This window comes from Homo sapiens, chromosome 5, assembly GCF_000001405.40.
Source record: "Homo sapiens chromosome 5, GRCh38.p14 Primary Assembly".
In the NCBI taxonomy this organism is placed as follows: domain Eukaryota; kingdom Metazoa; phylum Chordata; class Mammalia; order Primates; family Hominidae; genus Homo; species Homo sapiens.
The window spans coordinates 71,655,928-71,676,009 of record NC_000005.10 but is presented as its reverse complement, the minus strand read 5'-3'; the positions used below and the strand labels follow the sequence as shown (position 1 = coordinate 71,676,009).

At 41.1% G+C, this 20,082-nt stretch overlaps 1 protein-coding gene across 2 annotated transcripts in view; it reads right to left on the bottom strand.

Annotated features, from left to right (window-relative positions):
- The window catches only part of MCCC2 (methylcrotonyl-CoA carboxylase subunit 2), a 71,367-nt gene continuing 68,588 nt past the window's right edge, over positions 17,304–20,082 (bottom strand). For both annotated transcript variants that reach the window (NM_022132.5, NM_001363147.1), the window contains one exon: positions 17,304–19,267. In NM_022132.5, coding sequence (NP_071415.1) covers positions 19,150–19,267 — 118 coding nt within the window. In that variant the 3' untranslated portion in view covers positions 17,304–19,149. The remainder of the gene's footprint in view (positions 19,268–20,082) is intronic.

The window sequence follows — 20,082 nt, the reverse complement described above, 5'->3', positions numbered from 1 at the left end:
AGTCAAAAGCAAACCAAACCCAAAATTGGTAGAAGAAATAATACAGATCAGAGCATAAATAAATGAAATTGAAATGGAGAAAACAATACAAAAAATCAACTAAACAAAAATTTGGTTTTTTGAAAAGATAAACAAATTTGACAGACCTTTAGCCAGACTAAGAAAAAAGGAGAGAAGACCCAAATAAATTAAATCATAGAGGAAAATGAGGACACTACAACCAATACCACAGAAATTCAAAGGATTATTAAAGGCTATTATGAGCAACTGTATGCCAACTAATTAGAAAACTTATAAGAAATTGATAAATTCCTGGACACATACAACCTACCAATATTGAACCATGAAGAAATACACAATCTGAACAGACCAGTAACAAGCAATGAGATCACAGCAATAACAAAAATCTCCTAGCAAAGAAAAGCCTGGGACCCAATATTCACTGCTGAATTTTACCAAACATTTAAAGAAGCGTGAATACCAATCCTACTGAAACTATTCCACAAAATGGAGGACTAGGGGATACTTCCACACTGATTCTACAAGCCCAGTATTATCCTGATACCAAAATTAGCCAAAGACACACCGAAAAAAAAAAGAGAGAGAGGCCAGGCGCCGTGGCTCAAGCCTGTAATCCCAGCACTTTGGGAGGCCAAGGCGGGCGGGTCACGAGGTCAGGAGATCAAGACCATCCTGGCTAACACGATGAAACCGCGTCCCTACTAAAAATACAAAAAAAAAAAAAAAAAAAAAAATTAGCCGGGCGCGGTGGCGGGCGCCTGTTGTCCCAGCTACTCAGGAGGCTGAGGCGGGAGAATGGCGTGAACCCGGGAGGCGGAGCTTGCCGTGAGCCGAGATTGCGCCACTGCACTCCAGCCTGGGTGACAGACAGAGACTCCGTATCAAAAAAAAAAAGAAGAAGAAGAAAAAGAAAGAAGAAAGAAAGAAAGAACAGAAAGAAAGAAAGAAAGAAAGAAAGAAAGAAAGAAAGAAAGAAAGAAAGAAAGAAAGAAAGAAAGAAAAAGAAAGAAAAGAAAAGAAAGAGAGAGAAAGAAAGAAAGAAAAGTAGCCAGGTGCAATGGTTCACACCTGTAATCTTAGCACTTGGGGAGGCCAAAGTAGGAGGATCACTTGAGGCCAGGAGTTCAAGATCACCCAGGGCAACATAGGGAGATCCTGACCATATTAAAAACAAACAAACAAACAAACAAACAAAAACTAAACTACAGGCCAAAATCCCAGATGAATATTGATGCAAAAATCATCAACAAAATACTAACAAACCAAATTTAACAACACATTAGAAAGATCACTCATCATGACCAAATAGGATTTATCCTTGGGATGCAAGATGGTTCAACACATGTATATCAATCAAGGTAATACATCATGTCAACAGAATAAAGGACAAAAACCATATGATCATTTCAATTGATGCTGAAAAAAGCAATTGATAAAGTTAAACATCCCTTCATGATAAAAAAAAAAATACACTCAAAAAACTCGGTATAGAAGAAACTTACCTCAACATAATAAAAGCCATATATGACAGACTCACAGCTGGTATTATACTGAATGAAGAAAAACTAAAAGCCTTTCCACAAAGATCTGGAATACAGTAAGGATGTCCACTTTCACCACTGTTATTCAACATAGTACTGGAAGTCCTAGCTAGAGCAATCAGACAACAGAAAGAGATAAAGGGCATCCAAATTGGGAAAGAAGTCAAATTATTCTTGTTTGCAGATGATATAATTTAATATTTGAAAAAAACCTAAAATGTCACCAAAAAACTATTTGAACTGTTAAACAAATTCAGTAAAGTCATAGGATATGAAATCAACATACAAAAATTAGTAGCATTTCTATATGCCAACAGTGAACAATCTGAAAAAGAAATTGAAAAAGTAATCCCATTTACAATCATTACAAATAAAATTAAATATCTAGAAATTAACCAAATAAGTGAAAGGTCTCTATAATGAAAACTACAAAACATTGATGAAAGAGAGTAAAGAGGACACCAAAAAATGGAAAAGTATTCCATGTTAATGGATTGGAAGAATCAATATTATTAAAATGTCTATACTACCCAAAGCAATCTACAGTTTCAATGCAATCCCTATGAAAATACCAATGACATTCTTCACAGAAATAGAAAAGACAATGCTAAAATTTATTTGGAACCACAAAAGACTCAGAATAACCAAAGCTATCCTGAGCATAAAGAACAAAACTGTAGGAATCACATTACCTGGCTTCAAATTATGCTACAGAGCTTTAGTAACCAAAACAGCATGGTACTGGCATAAAAACAGGCACATAGACCAATGGAACCAAATAGACCACCCAGAAACAACACACACATCTACAGAACTCATTTTTGACAAAGGTACCAAGAACCCACATTGGGGAGAAGACAGTCTCTTTAATAAATGATGCTGGCAAAACTGGATATCCATATACAGAAGAATGAAACTAGACCCCCTATTTCTTGCCATATATAAAAATCAAATCAAAATGGATTAAAGGCTTAGATTTAAGACCTCAAACTATGAAACTACTAAAAGAAAACACTGGAGGAACTATCCAGGATAATGGACTGGGCAAAGATTTCTCGAGTAATACACCACAAGCACAGGCAACCAAACAAAAATGGACAAATGAGATCACACCAAGTCGAAAGCCTTCTGCCCAGCAAAGGAAACAATCAACAAAGTGAAGAGACAACCCACAGAATGGGAGAAAATATTTGCAAACTGTCCCTCTGACAAAGAATTAATAACTAGAATATATAAGGAGCTAAACTATATAGGAAGAAATCTATTAATCAGATTTAAAAGTGGGCAAAAGATCTGAATATACATTTCTCAAAAGAAGACAAATGGTAAACAGGTATATGAAAAGGTGTTCAATATCATTGATTATCAGAGAAATCCAAATGAAAACTACAATGAGATATCACCTCACACCAAGTTAAAATGGCTTTTATCCAAAAGACAGGCAATAACCAACAATGGTGAGGGTGTGGAGAAGAGGGGACCCTCATACACTGTTGGTGGGAATGTGAATTGGTACAAGCACTGTGGAGGACAGTTTGGAGGTTCCTCAAAAAACTAAAAATAGAGCTACCATATGGTCTAGAATCCCACTGCTAGGTATATACCCAAAACAAAGGAAATCAGTATGTCAAAGCAATATCTTCACTCCCATGTTTATTGCAGCACTATCCACAATAGCAAGATTTGGTAGCAACCTAACTATCCATGAACAGATGAATGAATAAAGAAAATGTGGTACACAATGGAGTACTATTCAGCCATAAAAAGAATGAGATCTTGTCATTTGCAACAACATAGATGGAAATGGAGGTCATTATATTAAGTGAAATAAGTCAGGCACAGAAAGTCAAACTTCACATGTTCTCACCTATTTGTGGGAGCTAAAACGTAAAACAAGTGAACTCATGGAGATAAAGAGTGAAGGATGTTTACCAGAGGCTGGGAAGGGTAGTGGGTTTTGGGGGTACAGGCGGAATGCTTAATGGGTACCAAAAATAAAATGAATAAGACCTAGTATTTGCTAGCACAATAGGGTGACTATAGTCAAAAATAACTGTACATTTTAAAATAACTAAAAGAGCATAATTGGATTGTTTGTAACATAAAGGATAAATGCTTGAGGTGATGGATACCCCATTTACCCTGATGTGATTATTACACATTGCATGCATGTATCAAAATATCTCATGTAACCCATAAATATATATACCTACTATGTACCCACGAAAATTAAAAATAAAAAAGTGAGGGTCTCTATGGATAAAGGATGATGAGAAAGGTGGATCAAGGGACTGTTTTGAGCCTCTTTATTTATTTTTTAACCATGGTAGGTATTATTTGATTTTCTAAAAAATTTTTAAATTGTAAGCCAGGCTCAAAACACTCAGGGATGCCAAGGAAAGACATTTAAATTTTATCCCTAAGTGACAGGGAGCTAACAAAGGTATTTAAGCGAAAGAGAGTGGCATGACCAAAAATCATTTTTAAGAGTGCCAGGAGGGTCTGCAATGTGAAGAGAGCATTGGAGGGCGGGGGGAGGGGTGGGACACAGGACTGTGGGAGACTGGTTGGGAGATGAGCCTCCCACATGCGTGAGTCTCCTCACTGAATGGCCCAGGATCAATTTCACCATGCAATTTCAGAGTCACCTTTGCTGAAGCTCCAGCAGTGAGAGTATATAAGTGAATCCCTCAGACAGCTGTCAAGCAGTGGGACAGCACACTAACATGGCTTCTTTGATTCACTATGCTATCAGTTATCATCATTGCCTTGGGATATGGAGACATAAATAGCCCCAGATTGCACTAAGCCCAATCTGTATGGTTAGCAGGAAAGAAACGTCTTCCACTAAGAACCAGAGTCCAGAATGGATGCCTGGGGTTTAATGGCCATGAGATAAAGGTGTGGATAGAATAGGTGTGGATGGGAGCACCCTTCAAAAGGCCTTCGTTGCTTTCATGCCCCTTCCCTGCTGGCATGCATGGAAAAGATGTGGACAGGGAGATAATCAAGGGCTAGCAAACTCGGTCTTAAAACTGATCCAGCTTGCAAATCACATTTTAAAATATTCCTTCTCAAATTTTATCCCAAAATGTTTATGTAGAAAGTATGGATAAAGAAAGAGAGGAAGGAGGAGGAAAAGAGGAGGAAAAAGAGAAGAATTCACCAACAGACTAACACAATCCTGAAATGTTTGTTTTCTGTGAGTTGATATGTCCCCAATTATGATATGCTTACTAACTTTATGTGTCGCCTCTCCAAAAAATATAGATAGGGCCAGGCATGGGAGTGGACACCTGTAGTCCCAGCTACTCAGTAGGCTGAGGTGGGAGAATTGCTTGAGTCAAGGAGTTTGAATCCAACCTGGGCAACATCGCAAGACACTGTCTCAAAAAAAGTCGAGAGCTATAGATCAAACATATCAAGCATAATACAGGTATGTAGATAGTTTCTATTTTAAGAAAGGTTTTAGAGTTACATTCCAAAAAATGGCTTCTGAGAAACTTTTTAGGAAGTAATTCTTTCTTACAAGAGGAGAAAATTCCTTCCCCAATTCATTGCGATTACAGAATATTTTTTTAATCCTCCCACTGCTTTTGGGATGCATCGCTGAAAGCAGAGACATCAGTATTAGTAATGGTACTTTTAGCTAAAGTAATAGAAAACACAACTAAAATGGCTTAAACATTAAAGATATGTATTATTTCACGCAGTGTAAAGTCCAGAGATGCAGCTTCAAGGCAGTGGGTCCATGGCTCAATGGCAGGATCAAGGAGATAGATCCCTCATCCTGCTCGGCCTCCTCAGTGTTGGCTTCATCCTCCAACTGGCAGCAACAAGGCTTCACAGATCCCAGAGTCACATGTCCACATGACCAGATCCCGGAGAAGAAAGAGATCAAATTTTCTAGCTTTTCCTTGGGGCAAAGAAATGTCTCCTACAACCGCCGCTCAACAGACATCCCTTCATGCCAATCCCTGGAAAAGAGAATGGGAAGTTTTTCACCAGTCAGGCCCATCTGGAGCTGTGGGTTCACTGGCTTCCCAAGGCATGTGGATTCATTTGTAGGTATGAATAACAAAAGAAAAAACAACTGGAGTTCTGCAGGAGAGAAACAGGAACAGATGCTGGGCAGACACCTAACAGACACCCGCTCTATGATAACACTAAATCCAAAAAATGGCAATGAGTCCAGGAAATCAAATTATATCCACGGATACTTTTGATCAAAATATGTAGAGAAAATATTTAGTTCTCAATTTGTGAAGGTGAAGGCAAGAAAATGCCAATCGTCAAGACATGAGACACACATAAAAAGGTATTTCCAGTAAACTTACAGAAATATGGGGAGAGTGCCTGGCCTCTGAGAACTCACCATCGTGCTCCATGACATTTACAGAGTTCTCAAGAATACTCCAAGAGCACAGGAGGAGTAGGGAGTGTAGCAATGCAGAGCTGATGCTTGTTTAAATTAATAACTTAATAAAAATCATAATGAAGAGCACATATACATGCTAAGTACTTTACATATAGTAACACAATAAATACTCATATAAAAAGCCAGACACGGTGGTTCACATCTGCAATCCCAGCATTTTGTGAGGATTGCTTTAGTCTAGGAGTTCAAGACCCACCTGGGCAACACAGTGAGACCCCAACTCTACAAAGAATTTTAAAACTTAGCCAGGTTTGCTGGTGCACACATAGTCCTAGCTACTCGGGAGGCTGAAGCAGGTGGATTGCTTGAGCCCAGGAGTTTGAGGTTACAGTGATTGTGACTGGGCAACGACTGAGACCCAGTCTTTAAAGAAAAAAATTAAAACCAGTGAGAGGTTATTACAGATGGAGAAATGAGGCTCAGATGGGTCATTACTTTCTAGCTTCATAATCCTAATAATGGTGAGGGCAATGCATAAACTCAAGTTTATTTTATTCTAAAGCTTATGCTCTTATGCTCTTGATCACTCATCTCTAATACCTAGTTTCTAGAAAATGAAAGAATTAAACTAACCTAATTAAAGCATATTCCACACCAAAAGTTCTCAAGGATTCCAATGTAGTGTTGTTAGATGCTTTCTCTATCTTGAATTAACTTTGCTGAATACCCTCTCTAACCTGAGAGATCACTGAGTTCACCTGGCCTAGACCGGTACTGGAATCGCCTACTGCAGCCTTCTACTACAGCACAATCCACAGCCTGGCAGCACTGACGTCACTGAAAGCTCACAGGAAATGCAGAATCTCAGGCCCTACTCCAAACGTACTAATTAGAATTTGCTTTTTTTTTTTTTTTTTTTTTTGAGACAACGTCTTGCTCTGTCTCCCAGGTTGCAGTGTAGTGGTGCAATCTTGGCTCACTGCAACCTCTGCCTCCCAGGTTCAAGCAATTCTCCTGCCTTAACCTCCCAAGTAGCTGGGATTACAGGTGCACACCATCACACCCAGCTAATTTTTGTATTTTTAGTAGAGATGGGGTTTCACCATGTTGACCAGTCTGGTCTCGAACTCCTGACCTCATGATCCGCCCGCCTCAGCCTCCCAAAGGGCTGGGATTACAGGCGTGAGCCACCGCACCTGGCCTGAATTTGCATTTGCATCAGATCCCTAGGGGATTCAAGCATTCAAGTTTGAAGTACTTCTCTACAGCATCCCTGACATCTGGGCTCCTCTTTACTCTTTCCTGAGATAGTCTGGTCCATAACCATGCAGTCCTCAGTATTAATAAATTCCTTTTTTTAATTTTTATTTTTTTGAGACAGAGTCTCGCTCTGTTCCCCAGGCTGGAGTGCCATGGCGTGATCTCGGCTCACTGCAAGCTCCGCCTCCCGGGTTCACGCCATTCTCCTGCCTCAGCCTCCCGAGAAGCTGGGACTTCAGGTGCCCGCCACCTCGCCTGGCTAATTTTTTGTATTTTTAGTAGAGACAGGGTTTCACCGTGTTAGCCAGGATGGTCTCGATCTCCTGACCTCGTGATCCGCCCACCTCGGCCTCCCAAAGTGCTGGGATTACAGGCGTGAGCCACCGAGCCCGCCAGTATTACTAAATTCTTGTGAAAACTTCCCTGAACACCACGCCTTCTCCTCATTCTGCCACTTAACTTACAAATAACAGAGCTTCAGAGATTAGAAATGCCTATTTTCACCTCCCCATGTCCTTTCCTTCTAGGCTAAACACCCACTTCCTTCGGTATCTTCACCATCATGTCGTTGGTGTCCTCCAGATCAGTGATACCCAATCTAAGATATGTATTAGAATCACCTGAAAATATCCAGGGGTAGGTCCCAGGAATCTCTATATTTTATGTACTCTCCTAGTACAGCCGTGGGGCATTACTCAGGCTTCAGAACCACTGCCCCGCATGCCCTCTAGTTGGTTAATATTCTTCCAAGAATATGACTTACAGAGCTGAAGGCAATGATCAGCCCAAAGAATAGAGATTATTATGGCCCATGATCAGGATACATTTTTTTAATTAGTACAGTCTAAAATGTGGATAGCTAAGCTGGGTGTGGTGGCACACACCTGTCAGCTACTCAGGAGACTGAGGCCCAAAAGTTCAAGTCCAGCCTGGGCAACATAGTGAGATTCCATTTCGAAAATTTTTTTAAAAGGCCTGGTGCGGTGTCTCATGCTTATAATCCCAGCACTTTGGGAGGCCAAGGCAGGCAGATCACCTGAAGTCAGGATTTAGAGACCAGCCTGGCCAACATGGTGAAATGCTGCCTCTACTGAAAATATAAAAATTAGCCAGGTGCCGTGGCATGTGCCTGTAATCTCAGCTCTTGGAGAGGCTGAGGCATGAGAATCGCTTGAACCCGGGAGGTGGAGGTTGCAGAGAGCTGAGATTGTGCCACTGCACTCCAGCCTGGGCGACAGAGTGAGACTCTATTAAAAAAAAAAATGAAAGGAGAGAGAGATGAAAGAAAGAAAGAAAAGAAGAAAAGAAAGAAAGAAAGAGAAAAGAAAAGAAAGGAAGGAAGGAAGGAAAAGAAAGAAAAGAAGAAGAAAGAAAGAAAAAAGAAAGAGAAGGAAGGAAGGAGAAGAAAGAAAGAGAAAGAAAGAAAGAAAAGAAAGAAAGGAAGGAAGGAAGGAAAGAAGGAAGGAAGGAAGGAAGGAAGGAAGGAAGGAAAGGGGAGGGAAGGGGAGGAGAGGGGAGGGGAAAGGAAAGGAAGGGAAGAGAAAGAGAAAAAGAAATAGCTATCATGAGGCATGTCGTCACAGCATTAACCCACGTCAAGCTCGTTGACAAAACTCCAGGATCATTTTATTTTTTCCATATGAACTATTGCAAAGCCAGATTTCCCCAGTTGTGTATGTAAGCTCTTTATTTTCCTAAGTTTAGAGATAGGATTCTGTATTTATTACTCTTAAATTTCATCTCGTTGTTCTGAGCCCTTAATTTAACCTGTCAAGAGTTTTGAATCTTTATTCCATCCTTTATTGTGAGGCTGTGAGTGGACTGGGGAAAGCGTGGCTCTGGAGTCAGACAAACTTGGGTAAAATCAGATCTGTTCGAGACAGATGGCTCAAGGGGTTACGCAGAAGATGGTAATTGAAGAGACAGGCTCAAGGCCAGATGAGAAATGTTCATGCAGTATATTTGTTGGGTGAATTCATGAAATAATGGCTGATGGCCGATAACCAGAGAAACTGGTTAGGGGGCTCTACACTGATCCAAGAGAGAATAAAGGCCTACGCTGAGGCTAGTTCAGTGATAACAGAAGAGGACTTAGCTTTTGATGAGGCAGAATCAATGAGATTTATAGAGCAACTGGATGTCAGGGTAAGAGAGAGGGAAGAATCACAATGACACTCACGTTTCTGGACTGAGCAAGTAAGAGGATACAGTTGCCAGAAGCAGGACTAAATGCACACCACACCAGCCCATCCCAGGGGCTTCCTAAAAGCTCAGGGGAAATAATTGCTCTTTTCATCACTTGTGTGTTTGTTTAACTGAAATGAGACTGACATCTTTATGGACCCAATTTAATTGTGACACGAATATATTTGATCAAAAAATAATCTCTAGGTGAACCTTGATGACATTATACTCAGTGAAATAAGCCAGACACAAAAGAACAAATACTGTATGACTCCACTCATATGAGGTAGAATAGGCAAATCCACAGCGATAGAGAGTACAATAGTGGTTACCAGGGCCTGAAGAGAAGGAGAGAATGGGGAATGACTTTTTAATAGGTACAGAGTTCCAGTTTGGGATGAGGAGACAGTTCTGGAGATGGATGGCGGTGACAGTGGCACAACAATGTGAATGTATTAATACTTAATGCCACTGAGTTGTACACTTAAAAATGGTTATGAGGGGAAATTTTATGTTATATGTATTTTACCACAATAAGAAACAAAAAGATGGCAGGGCCCGGTGGCTCACGCCTGTAATCCCAGCACTTTGGGAGGCCGAGGCGGGTGGATCACGAGGTCAGGAGATCAAGACCATCCTGGCTAACACGGTGAAACCCCGTCTCTACTAAAAAATACAAAAAAAATAGCCAGGCGTGGTGGCGGGCACTTGTAGTCCCAGCTACTCGGGAGGCTGAGGCAGGAGAATGGCATGAACCCAGGAGGTGGAGGTTGCAGTGAGCCAAGATCATGCCACTGCACTCCAGCCTGGGTGACAGATCAAGATTCCGTCTCAAAAAAAAAGATAATAATCTCAAGTTATCAGTCATCCATGTTGGTGATGAATATTTCCTATTTATTTTATTTTATTTTATTTTATTTTATTTTATTTTATTTTACTTTATTTTATTTTATTATTTTTCAGACAGGGGTCTCACTCTGTCACCCAGGCTGGAGTGCAGTGGCATAATCTCAGCTCACTGCAACCTCTTTCTCCCAGGCTCAAGTGATCTGCCCTCCCCAACCTCCCAAGTAGCTGGGACTACAGGCAAGCACCACCACACCTGGCTAATTTTTGTATCTTTAGTAAAGATGGGGCTTCACCACATTGGCCAGGTTGGTCTTGAACTCCTGAGCTCAAGCCATACATCCACCTTGGCCTCCCAAAGTGCTAGGATTACAGGTGTGAGCCACTGCACCTGGCCTAATACTCCCTTTTTTAAAAGTCTAGTCATGGTCGGCTGGAAATGAATGGGCAAGAATCCTCAGAGACCTAAACCCTCTGTTTAATCCACTAAGAAGTTACAACAAAGCCACCAGAGCAGAAATGACTCTGGAGATGATCCTTTGGAAGCAAAATGCCAGCTACTGTGATGGCCCATTATATAAAATCCTTGTCTTTGCTTGTTTGTTTTTGCTCTGATCTCATTTCTTTCCATCACCAGGGATCTCTTTAGAAATGTTTAGCTATCGGTACCCACTTCCAGCAGTTTGCCTGAAACGAGGTAGGTCAAGAAACCAAAATAAGGCCAACTTTTATCTGCGCTGTGAGCTCTATCAGGAAAAACTGTACACAATGTAAAATTTAAGATTTTAAATTCATGAAAGTGTCTTGAAATGAACAGTGCCCATTTTGAAATCTACTGATCTAGCCTTCCTCTGTGAAGTGATTCTCAGCTTTGACTGCACATCAGAGTCACTTGAGAGTGTTTTAAAAACTACTGATACCTGGGTCCTAACCTGAACAGGTCTGTTTAGTTCACCTGGCATGCAGCCAGGGCCTCAGGATTTTTTCTTTTTCTTCCTTTTTTTTTTTTTTTTGAGGCAGATTTCTTGCTCTGTCACCAGGCTGGAGTGCAGTGACATGATCTCAGCTCACTGCAACCTCCGCCTCCTGGGTTCAAGCGATTCTCATGCCTCAGCCTCCCAAGTAGCTGGGATTACAGGCATGCGCCACCACACCCAGCTGATTTTCATATTTTTAGTAGAAACGGGGTTTCACCATGTTGGCCAGGATGGTCTCAATCTCCTGACCTCATGATCCGCGCCCCCCAATCCGGCCTCCCAAAGTGCTGGGATTATAGGCGTGAGTCACTGCACCTGGTCAGGATTTTTCTTACTCAAAGTTTCTCAAGTGATTCTAATGTGCAGTCTGGGCTGTGAATCACTGATCTAAAAGAACACCTACTTACCGAGAAGTTAATACAAACTCACCCTTCCCTGAAAATGGGGGAGAGAAATGTACAATTACCTAGCAAATATGCAAGAATGATAATATCACAAAGCAGAAATTTATCTTAGGATCCTAACATTTTGGAGCTAGGAAGGAATTTAGAGATCATTGAGAGTGGTGGTTCTCAGAGCATGATCCCCAGACCAGCAGCATCAGTGTCAGGTGAAAACTTGTTAGCAATGCACATTCTGGGCTGGACGCAGTCGCTTCTAGCACTGTGGGAGGCTGAGGTTGGCGGATCACTTGACCTCAGGAGTTCAAGACCAGCCTGGGCAACAATTCGTTTATCATTCATAAGACCATCACTGTGGCCTTAAGGCTATACAAAAGCCACTTAAGACTACCCAAGAAGTCACTACATTCTGTCTCCTGGTATGATTGTCTTTAAACTATCCCCAGTGGTAGACTTTCAGATTTTTAGCCAGATTTCCAATTAAAAGTAACCTAACATCTTGCTCAGTGACATATTTCAGTGATCAAAACATTGCAATAAATTGAGTTGCCCTTGTGACGATTTAAACCCTTGATCCAGAAGCCCCACATGGCGGCGCATGCCTGTAAGCTACTCAGGAGGCTGGATGGCAGGATCCCTGGAGCCCAGGAGTTTAAGGCTGCAGTGAGCTATGATCATGTCACTGCATTCCAGCCTGGATGACAGAGCAAGCCCCTGTCTCAATCAATCATTAACTAATTTACATTTAAAAAATAAACATTCAATCCATCCTCACTGGGGATGGTGGTGAGAAGCCACAACCCTCCTCCTTTGAATGTTCTGTGTATTTGAGGACCAAAATTCTCAGTTTACTCTTCTGTCTATACCATCGTTCTTTCACCAAGTTTGAAAACATAGAGTGACTTACTGTAACCTCTGGCTTGCAGAAGAACATGTTGCCAGGTAGGGTTGGTTGCTACAAGCATTGAAACATGACTCTCCTAAATAAATCAATAAATAAGATTGTTGGAAGGATACAGATGCCTCTGACTCACAGATTCTCAGTAATCAGGGTTGTGCCAGGGACCCTGGAGCAGAGGTGAGTGAACGAACAGCTTCTTCAGGTCTACTTGAACTCAGTGTCATTCGTCTTCCATCTTTGTCTCTCTGCTAATGAGTCAAAGCACTTGAGAGAGTCCACCTGGCCAAGCCTCAACATGTGTCCAGCCCTTGGTGTCCAGGGCTCTTTGCTTGCCACACTGGCCAAGACTGTGCAGAACAGGAGAGGGGTAGTTCCCAAAGAGAATGAAAGTACAGTTACCAAAAGAAGACAGAGGGGTACCAAGAGGCTGAAGATAACCCTCAAGTCACTGACCAGATACTGCACCAGGCCAGGAGCCACGTCTTCTTATCTTTGTGTACCATCCCGAAGCCCGACACATAGTGAGCCCTCGGTAAATGTATGCTCATTTGAACAAAACAAGCTGTGACCAACTGGAGAATGGGTCTTCCTGGTAAATGATTGCCACCATGAGTCCCACCGAGCCCTGAGGTACATGCTTTCCTGTGGAATAAAAAAGGCTCTCAGCATACCCTATCTACCCTTCCCTCCAGTCCTCACCCCTCGGCCCACCTTCCCTAGCCATCCACTAGCAGAGAAAGAGGGAATCTGGAGAGGTGGAGAAAAGACTTAGGCATGTAGAAGGAGGGAAGGAAAACAATCACTGGGCCAGAAAGGCTGATTTTAATCCCCTCCCATCCTCCTCAGGTTCATACAGCGCGTTAGTAGCTGAACTAGAGCGAAACCGGTCCACACCCCGCCCAGTGTTCTCTCCACGACCGTGACCTCCCATGCATTAATGCTCAGTCTTCACAACTCGTTGCTAATGTGACATGGTCACTTAGACACAGCTTTTTTTTTTTTTTGAGACAGGGTCTCGCTCTGTTGCCCAGGCTGGGGTGCAGTGGCACGATCACAGTTCACTGCAGCCTTGGCCTCCCGGGCTCAAGTGATCCTCCCACCTCAGCCTTCTGAGTAGCTGGGACTACAGGCACACACTAGCATGCCTAGCTAATTTTTTATTTTTATTTTTTTGTAGAGACAGGGTTTCACCATGTTGCCCAGGTTGGTCTCAAACTCCTGGGCTCGCGCGATCTGCCTGCCTTGGCCTCCCAATGTGCTGGGATTACAGGCATGAACCACCATGCCCCAGCCTAGACACAACTTTTAACAATGAAAGAAAACATTGGTTTCTGCTAAACAATTTAATTCTATGGGAAGCTATTTCTGTATCTAAAAACACCACGGTAACCATTACATCCAGCAATAAATACCATAATATACACTTATAGAGCAAAACTTACCAACAAGTCTTAAAGGTCTGTGTATACTTTAACCTGTACACTTTTATCCAACAACACTATTGCTAAAAATGTATCCTAATAATCACAGATATGTAAAGAAACTAAACAGATGTTCACTGCAGCATTATCTGTAATGTGGGAAACCAGAAAAAACCTACAGGTACAACAATAGGGGAGTAGTTAAATCAAAGGGAGGATTCATGCACTGCATTATCGTGCAACATCAGAGTTATTGCAGAATATTAGGCTGGGTGCGGTGACTCACACCTGTAATTCCAGCACTTTGGGAGGCCAAAGTGGGTGGATCACCTGAGGTCAGGAGTTCGAGACCAGCCTGGCCAACATGGTGAAACCCCGTCTCTACTAAAAATACAAAAATTAGCTGGGTGTCGTGACGCGCGCCTGTAGTCCTAGCTACTCAGGAAGCTGAGGCAGGAGAATCACTTGAACCCCGGAGGCGGAGGTTGCAGTGAGCCGAGATCATGCCACTGCACTCCAGCCTGGGTAACAGAGTGAGATTCCATCTCAAAAAAGAAAAAAATTTGCAGAATATTAAATTTCATGTAAACAGGTCATTATATTTACAATACATTAAGTGAAATGCAGATTACAGAATAACATGTAGCACACAGCATTTTTGCAAAAAAAAAAAAATTCGTAAAGATAGAAAAAGACTAGTACACGAAAAATATTAATAGCAGTTATCTCTAGGTAGTGAGATTATGAAGCTTTTTTTTCACTTTATTTTCTTCACTTTGTCTTCCTAAATTTTCCGCAAGTAACATTGTTAGATTTTTAGATTACAAATAACTTTAAGACAAAAATTATTTCTAATTATCCGGTAGATAAAGGAATGTCATTAACAGTGCTGTGGCTGAAAAATGTTGAATACATTTTCTACAGGAACGTTTAAAATTAGTCTGAGTATTCTAAAATTCTACCTGTTTTTCTTCTGAGTTCACTTCTTACAATCAACACTTACTGAATTACACTTAAAAAAATTGTTTTTCTTGGTTGAGCACAATGGTTCATGCCTATAATTCCAGCACTTTTGGAGGCCAAGGCAGACGGGTCACTTGAGTCCAGGAGTTTGAAGCCAGCCTGGGCAACACGGCGAAAACACATCTCTGCTAACACAAAAATTACAAAATACAAAAATTAGCCGGACGTGATGGCATGTGCCCGAGTCCCAGCTACTCAGGAGGCTGAGGTGAGAGGATCACTTGAGCCCAAGGGGTAGAGGCTGTAGTGAGCCAAGATCACGCCACTGCACTCCAGCCTGGGCACTGGAGCGAGACCCTGACTCAAAAAAAAAAAATTTTTTTTTCTACTCCAGCTTACTTCTAACATCTGGTTCTGGGTATATTTTCCTTGCGATAACTTCTCTGTGAAATCATCACCTTCTAAGACCTTATTCTCCCTGAAAAATACTTCTCTTGCTTACCCTAAAAAGTAGCACAAACATGTGACTTGGTTTGTGAAAGACAAAGCTGCCAGACATATTGAACCACTGATCTCAGAAAACTAACAGCTGGGAAACAAAATCATCCCTGCCCTATGGTAAACTCTCCTCTAGGGTCAATTAAATGACTCCCTAGAATGCTAATGCACACATATTATGTGACTGGTATCATACTGAAATCTATATTGAAAGTCATGAAGCAGGTATCTTGAGCGAAGGCTTCTAAGAATTTTCAAAAGCTGATATGCAAACAAAGTATTCAGTCATGATGATGTTACAGGCAGCGAGCACACATCCCAGTTCAAACTGGGATGAGTCGGTCCCAGTTCAGACCTGTTTCCCAGTGTAGTTATTATTAAGACCCCCTTTTTCTCACTCTCAAAAGCCCCAATGTGGATGGTAAGTTACACAGTCAACTTGATGGAATGTACATTTGCCTAGAAAGGTAAAAGGGGCATAGAAATTTCATTCATCCCTAAGAAAAACTTAGTCCTCAGGATCCTGATTCCAGATACAAGAGAATTTGAAGCACATAAAATAAAAGCACTATTTATTTATTTACCTATTTATTTATTTATTAAGTAGAGACAGGGTCTTGCTATGTTGCCCAGGCTGTTCTCCAACCACTGGGCTCAAGCAATCCTCCTGCCTCACCCTCCTAAAGTGCTGGGATTACAGGTGTTAAGCCAGGGTGCCCCGCTGAAACAAACTATTTTTAAGCGTTTAGTGGAAAGGCACAAAACGTTTTGTCGAAAATGATTAAAATCTATGTCATCATTAAATATTAATTGTACTTAATTGTAACATTTTAAGGGAAATGTTATGAATGACACTAGGCTATGATAACCTAGTTCATCTTCTTGCCATTTTTCCATATATGAAACTTCAGAACCAATCATTAGAAGATCACTAAGAAAAAAAAAATCGCCAAGACTCTTAGTGGAGATTTAATCTTCCATAAAACCAAACTCAATGCATTTTAGAACTAATGTGGCCTCTCAAAAATAATCTTATTAATGTATCATTCCAAAACCTGCTTTGATTTATCCCTGTGAAGGAAACATATGGCCTCTCTCTGGAGAGACATACACATAAGCATGTTGGCAAATGATGGTGTCACTCAAACACTCAATAGTGCCTTCTGCTGGTGCAGAAGTGTTTTTTTTTTTTTAACAAATTCGATTTGAAAATACTTTTCTTATAAACTGAAAAATAGAAGTAATCTTGTCTTTTTCATTCTTTAAGTACCAACAGGGGCAAATTTAGAGACTAACTTGTATATTTCTTCAAATTCCAAGTAGCTCATATTATCCTTGCTGGAATTCATATTTATGATAGTCAAAATGTTTAAAAAGTATTACCTATTTTGGTAAGACAATTATAAATGTTTATTGTTGGGTAAAATATACAAAATAGAGCAAGGCGTAGTGGTGCAAGCTTGTAGTCCCAGCTACTTGGGAGGCTGAAGCAGGAGGATTGCTTGAGCCTAGGAGTTCGAGTCCAGCCTGGGCAACATAGCAAGACCCTGCCTCTAGAAAAATAAGTTTTAAAAAATCCAATTCACTTAAATGTGGTTTTATTGATGGACAGTTTCTTCCCAGAAAAGCAAAAGCAGTCCTAAAATATCCATGAATCCTTGACTTGTTAATGGTTCCTACCAAAGGAATATTACCTAGTCTTTATATAGAAAATCATTTTGACATAGATGTGCATTTTCATTAAAATTTTAATATTACTATTTTAATATACTTAATGTATTGCTTCTGAAAATGTAACCTACCACTGAATTTGATCATCTATCTATATTCTCCCCACAAAAACTAAATTGACTTCCTGGTACACATTGAACATCACACACAAATGTTTAAAATACTAAATATCACACACAAATGTTTGAAATATTGACTTTATTAGGAAAACATTTGATAGTTCTATTCGGTCATATAATCAATCACCTAATTTTAAAACTATGTGGCCAGAGGACATCAATTACAATATGGATTTTTCATTCATTCAACGAATATTTGAGCACCTACAAGTGCCAGACATTGGAGGTACAGGGTAAACAGGAGGATCCTTGCTCTCACGGAGCTTACATTCTAGCAGGAGGACAATATTAATGTTTATAGGAAAATGATGAGTTTATGACAAAGGAAGTAGATAGTGTTTTACAAGAGCATAGAGTAGGGAAGCTAATCCAGCACAGGGAGGTCACAGAGACATCCCTAAGGAAGTGGAGTTTAAACTGAGAGAAGCAAGTGCTTAAACTGAAGGATGTGTTGAAGAAGAAGGGAGAGTAGAACAATTTGGGCAGAGGGAACCTTATAGACCCTAAGGTGGGAAGGTTCAAAGAACTGAAAGAGAGCTAGAACAGCTGGAGCCGTTCTCCGGTGTAAAGAGGAGTCAAAGAGATAAGATTAAAGATGTGAAGATTAAGATCTTGGTGGCATTCAGGGATTGGCACTTCTACAAGAAATCACTGAAGGGAGTAATCTGACATTACTTTTCACTTCAGGATGGCCATTCTAACTCCAGGGGGTAGACTGGACTAGGTAAGACTGGAGGCAGGTAGACCTCTTCTAAGGCCTGCGATAGTGAAAGACAAAAATAAGTGGGGAAATTCAGGGGATAGTGAAAATCAGTAGGACTTAATGAGCAAGCCAGAGGTTCCTCCACAACAACCAGTACAGATGTCCAGTAGACCTACTGGATATGCAGGCCTGCAGCTCAGGGGAGAGCTGGGTTAAGAACCGTCAAGGCAGTAATCATCTGCATTTAGATGGCGAGTGAAGCCATGACAGGGGCTGAAATGGCCCAGCAAGAATAAATCAAACCATGAGAAACACATACATTTAAGAATAAGGAGATGTGGTCAGGCGCGGTGGCTCACACCTGTAATCCCAGCACTTTGGGAGGCCGAGGCGGGTGGATCACTTGAGGTCAGTAGTTTGAGACCAGCCTGGGCAACCTAGTGAAATCCCGTCTCTGCTAAAAATACAGAACTTAGCTGGGTGTGGTGGTGCGTGCCTATAGTCCCAGCTGCTTGGGAGGCTGAGGCACAAGAATCGCTTGAACCCGGGAGGTGGAAGCTGCAGTGAGCCGAGATCACACCACCGCACTCCAGCCTGGGCAACAGAGAAACACCCTGTCTCAAAAAAAAAATAATAATAAGGAGATGTCATGGGCTCGGGGGAGGGGGAAATGGGGAGCGCTGTTGTTTGAATGGTATAGTTTCAGTTTGGGACTGAGAACAAATTCTGGAGATGAATGGTGGTGATGGCTGCACAGCAGTGTGAGGGCACTTTATGCCACTGAAGTAACAGATGCCTTTCAAAAATAAGCCCGCTAAAATATCACCAAGCATAACCAGCAAAACAATCATTTCAGTGAAAATACAACTTTATATTAATCATCTCAATAATACAGATTACAGAACTGAGTTTACAGATTACAGAACTTTTCATACTTTGTGGGTCAGAAAGGATAACCGTAAATTACTGTCTCCGCTTTATGGGTGGTAAAACTGAGCCACAGAGAAATTTCTCTAAGAAAATTTAAAAGGAATTGATGTTCATTAAATAAATATCCTCACTGATTTTTTTAAGGTAGAAAAGTACAATGCACAGTGTTAAAAAAATTACTGTAACAGCCTCATGTTCGAGAAGTCTAAAATTTTAAGGCTACTACATGTGTTAATTTTCAGTACATGTCCAACAGAAAACATCCTTTATTCCAGTTACATCCTGAAGATACCGAAGTCAGTCTTCTCTATTGGTGCGTTGAGGGCTGCACTAAAACTGAGACCCAAGACCAGTCTGGTGTCTGCTGGATCAATGATCCCATCATCCCATACCCTGACAAAAGAACAAAAAAAGAGTTATGAATTTACCACCAAACTACCATTTATACACTCTCCATGTGCAGAAATGCCAAGGAAGTTTTCCTTCAGGTAATATATGGATCTACTGATTAGCATCCATGTACCATAATCTCACAACAGAAACTACGTTCAAGACAGAGGGGGAAAACGTGGAAAAAAATGATATGACCTTCATCCCAGGCCACCACAGAATGTCATGTCAGGCTTAAGGCTTAAGGAACTACTTTTATAAGAGATCTCAAAGTAACCCCTAATTTGACAATACGTTTACTTATTTCAGGAAAAATTTTCCTATTCCTTTTCTTCCCACACAAATATATAAGCCAAGTTGGTGTATTCTGTCATTAATATGCAGAACCACATATACCCAGGTAATAACCTCAAACTTTACTGGAAAATGTATATTCCCCAACCCCCATCCAAACTCTTAAGAAACTATGAAAATTATTGAATAGGCTTCAGTACATTTTATCTTATTTATTATTATTATTATTTTTGAGATGGAGTCTCGCTCTGTCACCCAGGCTGGAGTGCAGTGCAGTGGCACGATCTCAGTTCACTGCAATCTCCGCCCTCTGGGTTCAAGCAATTCTCCTGCCTCAGCCTCCCTAGCAGCTGGTATTACAGGAGTGCGCTACCACACTTGGCTAATTTTTGTATTTGTAGAAGAGACGGGGTTTCGCCATGTTGGCCAGGCCAGTTTTGAACTCCTGACCTCAGGTGATCCGCCCACCTCAGCCTCCCAAAGTGCTGCGATTACAGGCGTGAGCCACCACACCCGGCCAGCTT